Below are 18225 nucleotides of genomic sequence, written 5' to 3'. Positions count from 1 at the left end.
TTAAAAAAAAATTTTTTTTGTCTCTTCTGGCGATATAATTTCAAATAGCCTGTCTATTCTCACTAATTCTTTCTTCTGCTTGAGCAGTTCTGCTATTAAGAGACTCTGACGCATTCTTCAGTATGTCAATTGAAATTTTCAACTCCAGAATTTCTGTTTGATTCTTTTCAATTATTTCAATCTCTGTTAAATTTTCTGACAGGATTCTGAATTCCTTCTCTGTGTTATCTTGAATTTCTTTGAGTATCTTCAAAACAGCTATTTTGAATTCTCTGTCTGAAAGGTCAGATATCTCTGTTTCTCCAGGTTGGTCCCTGGTGCCTTATTTAGTTCATTTGATGAGGTCTTGTTTTCCTGGATGGCTTTGATGCTTGTGGATGTTCGTCAGTGTTCGAGCATTAAAAAGTTAGGTATTTATTGCCATGTTTGCAGTCTGAGTTTGTTTGAGCCTGTCCTCCTTGGGAACAGTTTCCAGGTATTCAAAAGGACTTGGGTGCTATGATCTAAGCTGTATCTGCTTTAGTGGGCACCCCTAGCCCAGTAGCACCGTGGTTCTTGCACACTTGTAGAGGTATCACGTTGGTGGTCTTTGATAAGGTCCAGAAGAATTCTCCGGATTACCAAGCAGAGACTCTTTTTTCTTCCCTTACTTTCTCCCAAACAAATGGAGTCTCTCTCTCTGTGTTGAGCTGTCTGGAGCCAGGGGTAGAGTAACACAAGCACCCCTGTGGCCACCGCCACTGGGACTGTGCTGGGTCGGATATGGAGTATCAGCACAACACTGGGTCTTGCCCAAGGCCTGCTGTAACCACTACCTGGCTACTGCCTATTTGCTCAAGGCCCTAGGGCTCTACAATCAGCAAAGGTGGTGACGCCAGCCAGGCTTACATCCTTCCCTTCAGGTTGGTGAGGTCCCCTAGGTCCTGAGTGGGTCCAGGGATGCCATCTGGAGCCATGGATGGGAATCTAAAATCTTAGAAGTCTACCTGTTGTTCTATTCTACTGCAGCTGAGCTGGAACTCAAACCACAGGATGCAGTCCTTCTCATTCTTACATCCCATTCTCACAGGCAGAGGAGCCTCACCAGGCCCGTGGGGAGTACTGCCAGGCTACCACTGATGCTCAGTTAAGGACCAAAGGAACTTCAGTCAGCTTGTGGTGAATGTTGCCAGGCATAGGAACTCATCCTTCAAGACAATGGGCTCCCTTGGCCCATGGTGTGTCCAGAAATGTTGTCTGGGAGCTAGGGCCTGGAATGGGGGCCTCACAGCCTTTATCAGTGCCCTAACATACTGTGGCTGAGCTGGTATCCAAAATGCGAGACAAAATCCTCTTTACTCTTCCCTCTCCTCAAGCAGAAGGAAGGGGTCTCTTTTGGAGCTGTGTGCTGTGCTGCCTGGGGTTGGGGAAGGAGTGGTGCAAACACTTCCTTAGACACCACAGTTGGTGTCTCATGTGCCCCACCAGTTCACTAACTCCAAGCCCAGCTCAGCACTAGGTCTTGCCTAGGAATTGCAGTCCTTGTTGCGTAGACTGCTCCTCAAGTTCACTTAGGGTCCCAAAGCACTGCAGCCAATGGGGGTGAGGCTTGCTGGAACTCATGCTCTGACTGCTGGGCTGGGTGAGTACCCTCTGGCCAGGGCTGGTCCACATGTTCCCTCCGTGGTGTCAGCTGAGTATAGCTCAGTTTTGCTTTCCGCTGTGACATAGCAGCACTGAGTTCAATGCAAAGCCTCACAGTCATGGCATTCTCCCTCTCTCAAGTGTATATACAGATTCTCTGTGCCATGTAGCCACTGCCAGGGGATGGGGGAAGGGTGGCATCAGCAACTCAAGACTGTCCTTCTCACCCTCCTCAGTGCCTCTCTCAGGAATTTGAAGTCAAAACCAGGCACTGTGAGTGCTCACCTGATTTTTGGTTCCTATGAAAGTGCTCCTTTTGAGTAGATAGTTGTCAAACTTGGTGTTCTTGTGTAGGGGTGGGGATGTTTGGTGGAGTCCTTTATTCTGCCATCTTGCCCTGCCCCTAGGGTAAAGAAGTTAATTTTTTGGCCGGGTGCCGTGGCTCACGCCTGTAATCCCAGCACTTTGGGAGGCCGAGGCAGGCAGATCACGAGGTCATGAGATCGAGACCATCCTGGCTAACACGGTGAAACCCCGTCTCTACTAAAAATACAAAAAAAAATTAGCCAAGTGTGGTGGCGGGCGCCTGTAGTCCCACCTACTTGGGAGGCTGAGGCAGGAGAATGGCATGAACCCGGGAGGCAGAGCTTGCAGTGAGCAGAGATTGCGCCACTGCACTCCAGCCTGGGCGACAGAGCAAGACTCTGTCTCAAAAAAAAAAAAAAAAAAAAAGTTAATTTTTTAAACCTCACTCAGTTTTCTCATTTGTGAAACAGGCACAATAATGGATATGAAGGTGTGACAAAATTGTTGGCATCAGATGAGGTAAAAGGTATGTAAAGCACCTAACTAATGTTTTTGACACATAGAAATCACTCAATAAATGTTAGCTATGATGATGATGATCATGGTTAGCTATGATGATGATGATGGTTACAGTTGGGGAGGTATGAATGCGGGTAATACAGAGGACTCCAGGGGCCCTGAGATGTGGTGAGTGTGTGTGAGGGCTCCTTGACTTTTCCCCTTCCCCTGCTCCATAAGATCAGAGAGTTGATTTAGTTCATGTCTGTCTTGTTTAGTTCACGTCTGTCTTGTTTAGTTCACGTCTGTCTTGTTTAGTTCACATCTGTCTTAGTAACAAGCCAGTTTCCCTAAAGGCTTTTCATTCACCCCCCTCTCTTTTCAAAACTCTTATTTTTCTTTCTAAGTGTTATTTTCCCTCTGCATGTGAGTAAGTTGTTGGCCATCTCAGGAATCAAAACTTCCAGAACCAGCTGGCTTTGTAACCAGCCCGGGGCTTGGACCTGCTCACTCACCAAGGTGGTATCTTCCAGCCACCTTTACTGATGAGGTGGCCCTGTCAATCTGTAATTTATCACAGATACCACTGGTAAGAAATTAACCCAAAAGCATAATGAACCTAGGAAGTCGAAGCCGAAGTGAGCTGTGATTGCGCCACTGCACTCCAGCCTGGGCAACAGAGCGAGACCCTGTCTCAAAACAACAACCACCACCACCACCACCACCACAACAACAACAAACAAAGACTGCACAATTTCCTTCAAGATATAGCAATTGGCTCCTTGTCAGTATCTAACTGGTTTTGAAGTTCTTCCTGTTCTAATTCCTAAATAGCTCTGGATTTCTTTCCAGCCTCACGGTCTTTGCTATCATTGTCTACATCAAGGATTTTTAACCTTGGCACCATTGATAGTTTGAGCCTGATCATGCTCACGGGCCTGTCCTGTGTGTAGTAGGACGTCTAGCAGCATCTCTGGCCTCAACCCACTAGAGGCCAAAAGCAGCCACCGCCCTATCAGGACAACCAAAAATGTCTTCAGACATTACCAGTCATTTCCTGGGAGGCAAAACTGCTGCCCTGCTGAGAACTTCTGGTCTACATTTAAGCCCTTGTGATTTGGCCTGAAAACTGCAATTGCCTCCAGACGCCCTGACTCTCCTCCTGAGCACCTCCAATCTGCCCTTCATGCTTTTGCTGGAAGATAGATCTGACCATGTCCCCTTCCTCCCTCTGGTGGGTTCCAGTTGCCTATTGGATAAAATATAAACTATTTAATTTGGCATTAAAAACCTTTTACAGCCTAGCCCCAATCTTCCTTTTGTTCTTGGTACACTAATGCTGCCTCACCCTGTGCTTGAGCTATTTCAAATCATGCCAGGTTCACTGGGGCCACCTGGCCTTTGCCGGCTTTGTTCCCTTTCTGCAAGCCTTTCTGTCTTCTTATTTTGGGAGCAAGCTCTTGCTTCAAGGCTCAGCACCAACTACCCCCTACCCCTGCTGTCCCCACCCTCTTTACATCTTCCACATAGCTGGCTTGTCCTCTCTGGTTCCAGGGCACTTGCCCATCTCCCTCATTGCATGTGTCATATGGCTTTATAACTATTTGTTCACAAGTCTGTCTCTTATACGGCTTCCTTGAGGTCAGGGATTCTGTCTTAATTTATTCAGAACCACAGAGACCAACACAGCGCATGGGATACAGTGGCTGCTCATTTTTGGGTTTTGGAGTGAATTAATAAACAGATGACATGGACAAGGAAGATGGAAGAGGTGTTAGGTACCTAGACGTCAGAAAACTTTTAATTTCCCTGTGGCATTTTAAGAAAAAAACATGCTAGGTAACCTGGTTTCAAAGGATGCTATTAACTCTCAACTCAAGGGAAGAGTCTTTATACAACATCGCAGGCTCCTTAGGCCAAGGCCAAGGACAACTGGGAGTGGTCTGAGTCAGCACCGGCTCCTGGCCATGCGGCTGTGCAGTCTCCCACGTCTCACACTCAGAAGGGCTCTCTACTTGGCTTAACGCTCCGCTGCTGTCTTTAGATTCTTAACTTTTGAACAAGGGGCCCCACATTTTCACTTTATACTGGGCTTTGCAATTTATGTAGCTGGTACTGGCTTGGGTTGAGAAGGTTGGGGAGGGAGGACAGGGCAGTGGGCAGTGAACTAGCCCTTGCAGGGAATGAAGTTAGATGAATAGGTTGATAGGATGAGAGCTGCTAGGCCAGGTATCAGCAGGCATCAGGAAGAGAGGCCCCAGGCAGACTGGTGGCAGCAGCAAAAATGTAACAGGTAACTGAGGCCAAAGTCTTGGATGCTGGTTCTGAGCTTAGCCCTTGCTGGCTCCAATTCCTTCCTGTTATGATTTTCTCTTTTAGTCCCCTTCCTCTTCTACAGCTCCCCATTGGCAGAAGGAAGGAGTGCTAGACAGGGGGTAATTTCTTTAAAACCAAATGCCCCTTTGCAGTGACACCGCACCTGGGTCTGGAGGGAGGTTGAGGACTGAAGAAACAAAATTGAAAGGGCTGGTTGACATTTGCACCTATGTGAGCACCAGAGGAAGCCTTCAGGCTATTTGAAAATGCACCTTCAGGCTGCAACCAGTAACATGAAAAATCAGGAGAGCCTGGCAGCTTCTTACCACTAGAATTGTACCCCAGGGGCTCTTTCTCCAGCTTAGGGACTTATTTTTTCATTAAAGGTGGTAGGATTTTATAAATAGCAAGGAAAAAAAACCCGTGGTATTAGCATACATTATCTACCAGAGTAGAGGGATGGATGAGGCCCAGGCAAGTAGTTAGGTCAGTAGCCAGCCCCAGAATTGGGGTCTTAGGGCTGGGAGGGGCTGGGCTTGGAGAACATCATGAGATGAAGCTTTGAGAGCTGCAAGCCAGGTTCCAGCCTTGCTCTCCATTTGATTTGTGCCCCACTAGGATTTGGTAAAGTTTGGCTTTACAAGTTTCAGTCTGTGTGAACTGTGCTAAGGAGAAATGAAGCTGTGCCCTGTGTCCATGTTAATGGAAGGCAGGCCTTGCAGGCAGGTGACACTCAGGGGGACACATGGAGGCCATGGTCAGTTATTCTCTGCAGTTAGGAGGGTCCCTTTCACATTAACTTGAGAAATTCTGGGTTTGGCTAAGGAATGAAGAACAATGATCACGCCTGCCATCCACTGATGGCCCTGGCACTCCTGTGCTGGGGACTTGTTCAATCCTAGAGATGACTCTGCACAGTAGGCATCGTTCCTACGACACAAAAGTTGCACAGCTAGTAAATGGCACAGCCAGGATTTGAACTTGGGTTTTTCTGGCCCCCAAACCTGCAGCAATCTCACGAAGGGCATGGCATCCCTGTGTAGGTAGCATCAAGACCTACAAGGGGCATTTCTTTCAAACAGTTGTGGGGGCAAATGAGAACTTTTCTCTGCTAATGAATTATGTCCCGAGCCCTCAACTTTCTCTGCACCCTTCACTGCCATAGGCAGCCCTTCTAAATCTGCTCCTGGAAAAGGGCTTTTGTGTCTATGCTAGGATGTGTGTTTGAGAAAAAAGACTCACTGTGTCAGGGAGCATGCCATGCTTACGTGTGTGTTCGTGTAAATTTTTTTTTTTTTTTTTTTTGCGATGGAGTCTGTTACCCAGGCTGGAGTACAGTGGCGCCATCTCAGCTCACTGCAACCTCTGCCTCCCGGGTTCAAACTATTCTCCTGCCTCAGCCTCTTGAGTAACTGGGATTACAGGCATGCACCACCACACCCAGCCGATTTTTGTATTTTTAGTAGAGATGGGGTTTCACCATGTTGGCCATGCTGGTCTCGAACTCCTGGCCTCAAGTGATCCTCTCACCTCAGCCTCCCAAAGTGTCAGGATTACAGGCGTGAGCCACCGCACCTGGCCCATGCAAATATTTTTACATAACTTTAAAAATCTTCAAACAACTATTAGACCCTGAGTATATCTTTTACCATCTCAATGGCATTATAACTTATTCTAGAAGTGAGGGCTCCAGTATGATAAATTAGCTTTTTGTGGGGCTTAAAAATGTTTTGCACCCCAATAGTTGTGCTATCTCTGATTTGAAGCCATTGGAACCTGTCCTGTATAAATGCCAATTCTATGCACTGGAAGTCTCTTCTTAAAGCTTAGACCCCACTTTCTACCCAGTGGCCCCAGCATGTGATGGGTTTGATGAGCCCTCAAGCCCTGGAGAAGTTTATTTGATGAAGGGCACCCCAGGCCCACTCTGAGCAGGCTCAAAACCACAGAGAGGAAAACTGAGATAGTGTATCTGATTGTACTTATGGAGCTCATACAGAGGAGTGACTGTGACCACCATGCCAACATACACTGCACTGCTCCAGATACAGACCCCGTTTTAAATGCTTTATGAGCATTATCTCATTCCACCTTCCCAACAATCCTCTGAGAAAGGCGTTTTTCAAACGAGAAACCCATCTCTGAAACATCCTGAACAATTACATCCCTGTAATTGTTCTTTGTCTGCACCAAGTCCTGGGCCAGCTGCACCCAGAGTCTCTGGAGAAGAACCCTGTTTTCTACAGCATAGGTGTCTTGACTAAGCCCTTGCTCCATCTCCTTAGTAAGTGATTTTCCAGCACCCTCAGGATACAAAGCCAATGAGGGTTCGAGCTACCTAAGAACAGTGAGCCTTATGCCCAATTTGAGAAGGAAGAGGTTTTATTCTCTCATGGGTAGGGTCCTGGGGTAGTGGAGCAGCTTGTGCTGTGTCTGATCCCCATTTTGGATGTGAGTCTCCAGCAGGAGAGCTTCTTGCCTCTTGGGGTTTAATGGCACACTGGAAGGAAACCCTGGTGGCTTTGGACACTGAGGAGGTTCCTCACTCAAGCTGGTCTGCTGGACTTCCACCAGGTCACCTGAGGGACGGTGTTGACTGCACAGTGCAGGAGAAGAATGGACATTGCCCAGCATGAGCATCTAAGTGCCTTAGCAGGTTGTCATTGTTATGGACGTGATTCAAGGCTTCTCTTGAGTGACAGAAGGAGCTGATGAGCTGGTGTTGGCTTAGGAGATTTGTGAGCACTCAGGGTAGAAAGGCCTCTGCCACGGGGCTCCAAAACTTTCCACAGAAGCAGGGTCTTGGCTAGGCTGTGCCTCTGGGTTATTAGGTCAGCTCATCCCACTTAGGTTCCTGTGCCACCAATGTCTCCCTGAGTTTCACTGATCCCTGGGCTTTTCTGTTGCTCTGGGAATGGGCCATGATGCTGCTTCTCCTGGTTTTTCCTGTCTGTGACTGATGTGGGCACAGGATGCCCAGAGGCGTGAACTCCACAACATTCCTGGGTCTCACAAGCATCCAACTGCCTGCTTTGTCCTGAGTCCTTCACTGTGTCCCTGTTCTATAAAGGTTTTGTTTTCTAAGGGAGGCAGCCACAGCCTGGAAGCCCTTCTCCGGATTTCACTGCCTGGGAGGTGCTGACTGAAGGGAGTCATGCAGATCCTAAGGAACCTCAGTGGAGGCCCCGTGGAGCCCCTGCAAAGCCCCCAAAGACCCATGCCCTGGACCAGAGCCATTGTGGGGTGTTCTCCCCGCTGGCTGCATGTTGGAATCACCCAGGCAGTGTTCCTAACTATTGGTGCCCAGAGGTCCCACCTCCGGATTCTGATTTAGATAGGGGGGCCTGGGTTTGTAGGGGGTGGGGTTAAAAGCTCCCCAGTTGATTCCGAGGTGCAGGCAAGACTCAGAGCCATTCATGGAGCAGCTCCATTGATAAAAAAGAACTCAATGCAGGCACTGATGGTGCTCAGAGAAATCTGCTTTGCTTTTTTTTTTTTCATCTTTTTTTTTTTTTTACTTGACATAACTTGTATGTTTTTCTTGGGTGAAACATGATGTTTTGATATACATATACATTGTAGAGTGGTTAAATTTAGCTAATTAACAAATGCATTACTTCATATAAGTTATCGCTCTTGTGGTAAGAGCACTTAATGTCCATTTTCTACATTTTTCAAGAAGAGAATATATTGTCATTAACTATAATCACCTTGCTATACAACAGATCTCTTGAAATTTATTCCTCCTAACTAGCTGTAATTATGTATCCTTTGACCAACATCTCCCCATCTCCCCACTCCTTTCTAACCAGCCTAGCTTCTACTTCTTTGAGTTCAGGTTTTTTTAGATTCCACATGAATCTTGATGAGTGAGATCATGCGGTATTTATCTTTCTGTGCCTGGCTTATTTCACTTACAGAATGTCCTCCAAGTTCATCCTGTTATCACAAATGGCAGATTTCATTCTTTTTTATGGATAAGTGGTATTCCATGTGTATATATACAACTCATTTTTTTAAATCCATTTGTCCTTTGATGGACATTTAGGTTGATACCATATTTTGGTTATTGTGCATAGTGCTGTAATAAACATGGGAGTGCAGATATCTCTTCAACATACTGATTTCAATTCCTTTGAATATATACCCAGTAGTGGGGTTGCTGGATCATATTGTAGTTCTGTTTTTAATTTTTTGAGGAACCTCTATACTGTTTTCCATAATGGCTGTACTAATTTGCATTCCCAGCAACAATATATAAATGTTCCCTTTTCTCCACAGCTTTGATGGCAAGTGTTATCTTTTGTCTTTTTGATAATAGCCATAATAATGAGGTGATATCTCCTTGTGGTTTTTTATTTGCATTTTCCTGATGATTAGTGATGTTGAGCTTTTCTTCATACACCTGTTGGCCATTTGTCTGTCTTCTTTTGCAAAATGTCTACTCAAGTCTTTTGCCAATTTTTCACTGGGTTATTATTATTATTATTATTATTATTATTATTATTTTGCTATTGAGTTGTTTGGTTTCCTTATATATTTTGGATATTAACTGCTTGTCAGATGTATAGTTTGCAAATATTTTCTCCCACTATTTAGGTTGTCTTTTTTGCTCTGTTGGTTGTTTCCTTTGTTGTGCAGAAGCTTTTTAGTAAATTTTTAGAAATTTGATGTAATTTCATTTGGCTCTTTTTGCTTTTGTTATCCATGCTTTTAACGTTTTATAAAAAAATTATTGCCCAGACCAGTGTCGTGGAGTTTTCCCCCTATGTCTTCTTCTAGTAGTTTAATAGTTTTGGGTCTTGGATTTAAGTCTTTAATCTATTTTGAGTTGAACATGGTGAGATATAAGGGGGTAATTTCATTTTTCTGTTTGTGGATATCCAGTTTTTCTAACACCATTCTATTGAAGCAATTGTCCTTTTTCCACTGTGCTATCTTCGCACTGCTGTTGAAAATCAGGTGGCTATGAAGGTGTAGATTTATTTCTGGGCTCTCTATCCTGTTCCATTGGTTTATGCATCTGTTTTTATGCCAGTACCACGCTGTTTTAGTTACTATTGCTTTGTATTATACTTTGAGGTCAGGAAGTTTGATGCCTCTAGCTTTGTTCTTTTTGCTTATTTCAGCTTTTTGGGTTTCTTTTTTGTGTGTGTTTCCATACAAATTCCAGGAATACTTTTGTTATTTCTGCGAAGAATGTCATTGGTGTTGTGATATGCCTTACTTTTAAAAGTTAAACAGCAAATTCTCATTAAGTTCAATTTTTTTTTCATTTTAAAAATACTTGGTTCTAAGGAGCTGAAATTTCCACTCATTACTCTTGTTGATGGAGCAGCCTGGTCAGGATCAAGTATCACCAGCACCTAGTGAGGCGCTGTCATGGGCTGAACTGTGTCCCCCAAAATGCATATGTTGAAGTCGTACCCCTAGTACCTCAGAATGTGACTATATTTGGAAATAGGGTCTATAAAGAAGTAATTAAGTTAAGATGAGGTCATTAGATGAGTCTTAATCCAATATGTCTGGTGTCTTTATGAGAAGAGGTAATTGGAACACAAACACACACAGAGGGATGACCATGTGATGAGGAGAACACAGGCAGAACACAGACATCCGTGAGCCTAGGAGAGGTCTCAGAGGGAACCAACCTTGCAGATGCCTTGGGCTCAGGCTTCCAGCGTCCAGAACTGTGATAAATAAATGTGTGCGTTTCAGCCTCCCAGTTGTGGTACTTTGCTATGGCAGCTCTAGCAAACAAATATGGGCACCAACCAAACAACCAACTATCATAGTCACATGGAATCAAGGCTCAGGTGAAAGGACCTGACAGGGATCTAGGAGGAAGGGGAAGGGGGAGCAGGTAGGTCTTCACTTGAATCTCTGCACCTCCCTACCACACTGCCCAGTCCAGTGCCTGGGCTTTGGGTTGTAATTCACCATCTCATTTGCTGCCTTTGCTGCCTCTGAGAGTTGAGCTAAGCAAACACTTAACTAGGCAGGATGAGCAGGTGAAGGATGAGGGTCTACATGACCACCCAGTCTGGACTCTTGGGACCTTCCCAGTTGGCAGGTTCAGGAGTTTTCTTCAATATAGCTTTTCCTTCAGTCCACCTTGGTCACATTGAAGCCTGTAAAAAACTAGTCCTGTGGCTGGGCGTGGTGGCTCATGCCTGTAATCCTAGCACTTTGGGAGACTGAGGCAGGCGGATCACGAGGTCAGGAGTTCCAGACCAGACTGCTAACATGATGAAACCCTGTCTCTACTAAAAATACAAAAATTAGCCGGGCGTGGTGGTGCGTGCCTGTAATCCAGCTACTCAGGAGGCTGAGGCAGGAGAATTACTTGAACCCGGGAGGATGATGTGGCAGTGAGCCAAGATTGAGCCACTGCACTCCGGCCTGGGTGACAGAGCGAGACTCCATTTCAAAAACAAAACAAAACAAACAAACAAACAACTAGGCTTGTTGGACCAAGAAATCTAATTATTGGTGTTTTTCCACTTGTGGGAAAAATGTGCCTAATGCATTTGTATGTCAGTCTACTTATTTGTTTATCTATCTATCACTAGTGAAAAGATCACACAAAAATATTAACAGTGGTTATCTCTGGGGTGTGAAATTATGGGTAATTTTTGTCTTTTTGTTATACTTTTCCATTTTTCCCAGCTTTCTCCAATGGGCATGTATTTATTTTTATAATCATAAAAAAGCAATAAAAAAGTCTATAACCAAAATATAGTGTTCGAGAAGCTCAAGTTCTTGATGAATAGTGTACTCTGAAAAAAGGCATATAATATATGGCAAAGACAAGGAGAAATTCCATCAAAATATTCTTCTTCGTTGTTGCTGGATTGTTAACCTCTTTAGGCTCCAGATTAGCTCAGAATGAGAACATTTAGCAATCTCAAGGTCTATGTTGGAGCCAGTTTCACAGTGAAGCAAAGCCCCTACCCCAGGGCACAGCAAAGTCTTTGTGCTGAGAGGAAAACAATGGCACATATGTCCCAGAGAAAGAGGCAGCTCATAATTCTTTTCCCTGGCAGCCTATTAAAGCTTCTCAGACATTGGACTAAATTCTGTCCTTCCTCCAAGAAGAAGTGGACTTCTGTGTCCTTGAATAAAACTCAAAATAAGTTATGGATATAAGCCAGCAGCTCTTCTCATGGATTGCAGAGCCAAGAGTCACTACTTGTCTGTCCTCCACATTCAGGTCAGTTTTCAGAAAAAGGAGATTTCTCACTCCAACGAGAATGCAAAGAATCCAAGGCGGCCATTGTGTCATTATTTAACAAGTTCCTTCATCCATTTATGCCCCAGTTGAATCAGATGCAGATTCTGTGCCCGGCACTGTGCTAAGTGCTTCACGTGTATATTTTATTCACTCCTCACAATGACCCTGTGAGGGTCATCAGATTACATATGAAGAAGTGAGAACCGGCTGGGCGCGGTGGCTCACGCCTGTAATCCCAGCACTTTGGGAGGCCGAGGCAGGCAGATCAGGAGGTCAGGAGATCAAGACCATCCTGGCTAATATGGTGAAACCCTGTCTCTACTAAAAACACAAAAAAACTAGCCGAGCATGGTGGCGGGCGCCTGTAGTCCCAGCTACTCGGGAGGCTGAGGCAGGAGAATGGCGTGAACCCGGGGGTGGAGCCTGCAGTGAGCCGAGACTGTGCCACTGCACTCCATCCTGGGCAACAGAGTGAGAATCCATCTCAAAAAGAAAAAAAAAAAAAAAAGAAATGAGAACCAAGATCTCAACCCACCCTGGCAGTGCTTTCAGAGCTGCACAGCCCTACCACACTATACTGCCCTTGCTGTGCAGACACAGATATGAAATGCCCTGGCTGTGCCCTGGGGGGCATGAACTAGAGTGAGTAGAGTCAGATGTCCTCAAGTAAGGGTCAAGTAAACAAGTAAGGGTCATAAAAGGGCCAGGTGCAGAGAGCGAGGTATGTACAGGGCATGGAGGAGGGAGTGGTCCAGTCACCCAGGGTGGGGCAGTGGTTTGGGAAATGTTTCCCAGAGCAGGTGGCCTTTGTACTGGGTATAATGAGGCTGACAAGGGTGACTGATTCTTTGTGAGGGGAACAGATGCTAGTGGTGAGGTTATTACAGGCCAAAGGAGCAACCTCAGCAGCAGGTTGGGAAGCACAAAGATTGACCCCCACTCTCAGCATTGGACATATATCATCTAGGCAGAAAGTCAACAAAGAGACATTAGATTTAAACTGCACTATAGACAAAGGGACCTAACAATTTGCAGAACATTCTATCCAACAACTACAGAATATACATTCTTCTCATCAGCACGTGGTACATTCTCCAGGATAGACCACATGTTAGGCTTCAAAATAAGCCTCAACAAATTTCCCAAAATCATATCAATTATCTTCTTAGAGCACAATGGAATAAAATTAGAAATCAATACAAGGAGGGAACATTGGAAACTACACAAATACATGGAAATTAGACAACATGTTCCTGAATGACCATTGGGTCAATAAGAAATTAAGATGGAAATAAAAACAGTTCCGTGAAAGAAATGAAAATGGAAACACAACATACCAAAACCTGTGAGAAAAGTAAAAGCAGTGCTAAGAGGGAAATTTATAGCAATAAATTGTTCCATCAAAAAGTAGAAACATTAAAATTAACAATCTAACAATGCAAGGTGAAGGGGCAAGTGAGCAAGAAGTGAGATAAGAAGTAGAGGTTGAGCAGCCAAAACAAAAGTGAGATTAGCTGGGCGTGGTGGTGGGTGCCTGTAATCCCAGCTACTCTGGAGGCTGAGGCAGGGGAATTGCTTGAACCAGGGAGGTGGAAGTTGCAGTGAGCCAAGATCGTGCCACTGCACTCCAGCCTGGGGGACAGAGCAAGACTCTGTCTCAAAAAAAAAAAAACAAAAAAAAAGATAATACACCATGATTAAGTGAGATTTATGCCAGGGATGGAAAGATGGTTCAACATATACAAATCAATAAATGGGATACATCACATCAACAGAATGAAGGACAAAACCATATGATCATCTCAATAAATGCAGAAACAGTATTTGATAAAATTTCTGATAAAAATTTTTGATAAAAATTGATACAATTTACATAAAAACTCTCAACAAACTAGCTATAAAAGGAACATACTTAAAATAACAAAGACCATATATGACAAGCCTATATGAATGAAACATGTCATTTGCAGCAACATGGATGGAACTGGAGGCCATTATCTTAAGTGAAATAAGTCAGGCACAAAAAGGCAAATATCACACATTCTCACTTATATGTGGGAGCTAAAAAATTTGATCATATGGAGGTAGAGAGTGGAAAGATAGAGAACAGAGATGGAGGTAGAGAGTGGAAAGATAAAGAACAGAGACTGGGAAGTGTGAGTCTGGGGAAAGGGGGAGGATGAAGATGAGGCAGGACAGTTAGTCAAGGAAGTTACTATGCCCTTGGGATTTGGCAACCTTGGTGACCTCATAGTCACCACAATAAGCCCCAGCATTCGCACTGCAGTCAAGCTCATTCAGCAAAGCTGTCTCCAGTAGGGAATTTCCCCTGTAGAGAGCATGCACATTTTGATTTTACCTGTCCTCAGACTGACCCTTTGCTCAATATAATAATAAAAAACACCCCTGGTTGGAGATTTAGGGTGCTAATGACACATGCAATGTATGAACAAGCATGTACAGGTACTGCACATGTGCACCCATCCCAGAACATGCTTCCTAGCAACACAGTTTCCCACCCCCTCATGAATAATCAGGTAAGCCTTCGATAAAGGGAGTCTCCCTCAAGTGGGTCTTTGCTATCTCATCCTCATAGGCAGCCCACCCTGAATCCCTCTTGGGGCATCCTGTCTATTCTGCACCTAACTTTCAGGGTATTCTTCCTCCTTTGCAATAAATTGCTCTACACTGCATCTCCTTTGCTGTGTGTCTCCTGTTTAAATTCCTTTAAACTAGGAACACAAGAACTGAGGTTTCACAGCAGCCATCAACAAAGAGAAGTGGGTTAAAGCATATAAATATACAGTTAGATAGAAGGAATAAATTCAATGTTTGATAGCAGAGGAGGGTGACCATACTTAACAAAATGTATTGTACTTGGGTGATGGACACCTGGAATACCCTGGCTTGATCACTATACATTACACATAAGTAACAAGTTTTCTCATGTACCCCATAGATTTGTACAAAAACAAAAAAGCACAAAAACTGGAAGCAGTCTGGAGTCTGTCAACAGGAGAATGGATGAATAAGGGAACTATCTGATTGTGGCCTATTTGATGGAATATTACTCTGCAATCAAAAGGAACAGACTGAGACTGATACACGCAGCATGGATGAGTCTTCAGGACATTGTGTCAAGTAAGAGAAGTCAGATTCAAAAGATGAAGTCCTTTCCTGAGCACTTACTACATGCCAGACACCATACCAGGTATTTGCAAGATAACGCCATCTATAGGAAGTTCTGAAGAGGCAAAAAGAACAGTGGCTGGCTCTAGGGGGTGAGGGTGAGACTGGGACAGACTGGGAAGGGGCATGAGAATGTTCTGGGGGTGATGGTAAGGCTATCTTGCTGGGAGTTTGAGTCACACAAATGTATGCATTTGTAAAAACTCATTAGATGTGCATGTGGTAGGCTGAATAATTGCTCTCCAAGAGGGTCACATCCTGATTCCTGGAAGCTGTGAATATGTTGTTTCACATGGCAAAAAGGACTCTGCAGATGCGATTAAACTAAGAATCTTGAGATGGGAGATTATCCTGCGTTATCCATGTGGAACTGATGTAATCACAGTCTTTATAAGAAGAAGGCAGGGGATCAGAGTGAGTAGGAGAGGTAACTATGAAAGCAAGAGGTTGGTGATGTGAGGAAGGGGTCATGAGCCAAGGAATGCTTTCGAAGGTGAAAAAGGCAAGGAAACAGATTGTCCCTTCAGAGATACCAGAAGAAGCCAGCCCTGATTACACCTTGACTTTGGCCCAGCCAGACTGATTTTGGACTTCCAAGAGAATAAATGTATGTCATTTAAAGACACTAAGTATGTGGTGATTTGTTACCATAGCAAGGATACTAATACACTGCCTCTAATATTTGTGCATTTCGTTGTATGTTAATTTTACATACAATGGGAAAAAATTTCATTGTATGTTAATTTTACATACGAAAGAAAAAAAGAACTGGAAACAAATTTGGAACTCTAGTTAATAATATGCATGCTGAAGCATTTAGGGGTAAGTATGCAGATATCTACTACTTACTTTGAAATGCACAAAAATGGGATGGATAAATGAATTGATACATGATAAAGCAAATACAGGAAAATATTAATTTTAGTGTCTAGATAGAGAAGTATTCACTTGTAAATTTTTAAAATTTTATTTTTGAAAATTTTCATAGTAAAATGTTGAAGGGAAAAAGGCAGAGGCTTGATCCTCGATGGTGTTTAGGAATTGTGAGTAGTTCTGCAAAGTTAGGTTGTCTGTACTGGGGTAAGAGTAGTTGGCTCAGCCAGTCAGAATGCTGGAGGAGTAGGGAAGGAGATGTGGAGGGAATATAGACTTTATCCTGAAGGCAACGAGGAGCCAGTGCAATGCTTTAAACAGGGAGGTACAGAACAGGATTTGCGTTTTCAACTCTCACTGCACAAGTCATACCTCCGACTGAATTCTTTGAACAGCTGCTTACTTGATTTGAATGCAGGTCATTCGAAGAGAAGTTAGGGCTTTAGTCCTTTACAATTCAGCTTTAGTCAAAGGGGTTCCTCTCTCTGTGTTTGCCTCATCATTGGTAGTAGGGGACAAACCTGGAGGTTCTCTCATCAACAGGTACAGATTTGAAAGCTGAAAGTTTGTAGGAAAAGGGCAGTTAATTCTGGTCTCATCTTTAAGGCTTACCTGTTCTTGGGGGTAAACTACATGAAGGACAAAAATATAAAATCTTTTTATAGAACAAGTAACTGAGGTGAACCGGGAGTCAGAAAGTCTGGATTCAAATCTCAGTTATGACATTTTCTAGCTGTGTGGCCTTGGACAAATTCTGAACTTCTCTGAGCCTTAGTTTCCTAGTTCAAAAATGGGGAAAACACTAGTCAGGGCCTCATAGGGTTGCTGTGAGGATTCTAATAAATGAAGTCAAAGTATTCACCATGAAGTACCTCGTATATTGCCTGCCATGTAGTCAGTACTCAAGAAATGTTCAGCATTTTCATTATTGTTCAATGACCTACTTCTCAACCGAAAGCACGGAAGCAGAAGCTTAGCATACTCCTTGCTTATACCATTCCTCCCCTATCATGAAAATGATGATCAACTGCATGCCTTTAGTCTAGACAATTCTGAGCTTCAGACCCATATCCCCATTTTCCTCATGGGCATTTTTCCTTGCCTAGACCACAGGTACCTCAAACTCAACAAATTCCAGGAAGAACATATTGCCCCTCCCTTATCATGGGAATGCCACCATAAACCCACGAATGCTCCAGCCAGGCATGTGAGAGTCCTGCCAGACTCGTATTTCTTCCCCTCCCAGTCACACCCAATGCCCCAGCAAGTTCTATTTCCTGAGAATTCCTTCACCTATCTCCTGCATTCCATTTCCTCCTGTATTATTTTGGATTGTGCTTTTGCTATGTTTTACCTAAATTCCTGCAGTAGACTCCTACTGGCTTTCCTGCTCCCAAACTTGTCTCCTCCAAATTTAGCCTGTCTGCCTCTGCTAGAATGACCTTTCCACAGTGGGAATCTGGCCATTTGCCACCCTGCCAAAGTCCTCCAGAGGCTGCCTACTGGGACATGTTGGCTTCTGTGTACCTCTAGGGTCTGACCTCTCATCAGTCTCAGCAATGCCAGCCTACCTAGGCTCCTATCTCGGCACACACCCCTTGCCTGGAACACTCTGCCCCTTCCGACCTTTGCCTGGCTGCTGCTGACTCTCTGATGCCTCCCTTGATCATCTTCCTCTCTCCGCCATGCCCCTACCTGGAGCTGACCTCCATCATAGCCCTGGCCTCCCAAGATATCCACAGACTGTAACCTGTGCCTCTTATCTCTGCATGGCCAGTGCTTAGCACACTAGCTGGCAATTGTAGGTACTCTCTGGTGAATGCAGTTGATTCTAGGATCAAAGGAGAGTAAAGTTGAAGAAAAAGAAAAGTCAGTTAGGGTTCTGCTAGGAAATGGCATTCTCAGAAGGAGGAATATCGAGTTTAAAAAAGGGACTATTTACAAAGATGAGGCAGGGGCAAGGACATCACCAGAGGAGGTGAAGCACCTTGAAGCTAAGCGTAGTTGGAGGCCATTTTCACCCCTAGGTAGGTGAGAAGAGGCAAGGAGAGGGCATGGCTAATAGATCGGGGGAGACTTGCAGGACACAGTCACCTGACCAAATCGGTGGCTTTTGGCAGAACAGTGCTAAGCCAGGCTGTGATCTGGCACAGAGGAAGCCAGGGGAACAGATACTTCGATCTCAT

At 44.4% G+C, this 18225-nt stretch overlaps 2 long non-coding RNA genes across 4 annotated transcripts in view; one reads left to right on the top strand and one right to left on the bottom strand.

Moving 5' to 3' along the window:
* Nucleotides 1-18225, top strand: part of LOC105375567 (uncharacterized) — a 58167-nt gene that overhangs the window by 33286 nt on the left and 6656 nt on the right. For both annotated transcript variants that reach the window (XR_928171.3, XR_928169.3), the window contains exons 2-3: nucleotides 2400-2455; nucleotides 14937-15188. This is a non-coding gene — a long non-coding RNA (uncharacterized LOC105375567). The remainder of the gene's footprint in view (nucleotides 1-2399; nucleotides 2456-14936; nucleotides 15189-18225) is intronic.
* On the bottom strand, nucleotides 10744-17464 carry LOC124901775 (uncharacterized). Of its 2 annotated transcripts, XR_007060591.1 has the most exons (3): nucleotides 17394-17464; nucleotides 16412-16597; nucleotides 10744-10874 (listed from the first exon to the last, which is right to left on the bottom strand). It is a non-coding gene; the product is annotated as an uncharacterized LOC124901775 (long non-coding RNA). The 2 variants fall into 2 exon arrangements; XR_007060590.1 differs by lacking the exon at nucleotides 10744-10874 and having other exon boundaries at nucleotides 16118-16597.

This window comes from Homo sapiens, chromosome 7 (genome assembly GCF_000001405.40).
Source record: "Homo sapiens chromosome 7, GRCh38.p14 Primary Assembly".
Classification (NCBI taxonomy): domain Eukaryota; kingdom Metazoa; phylum Chordata; class Mammalia; order Primates; family Hominidae; genus Homo; species Homo sapiens.
Note: the sequence above shows the minus strand (reverse complement) of the source record. Positions and strands in the feature narration are given on the sequence as shown.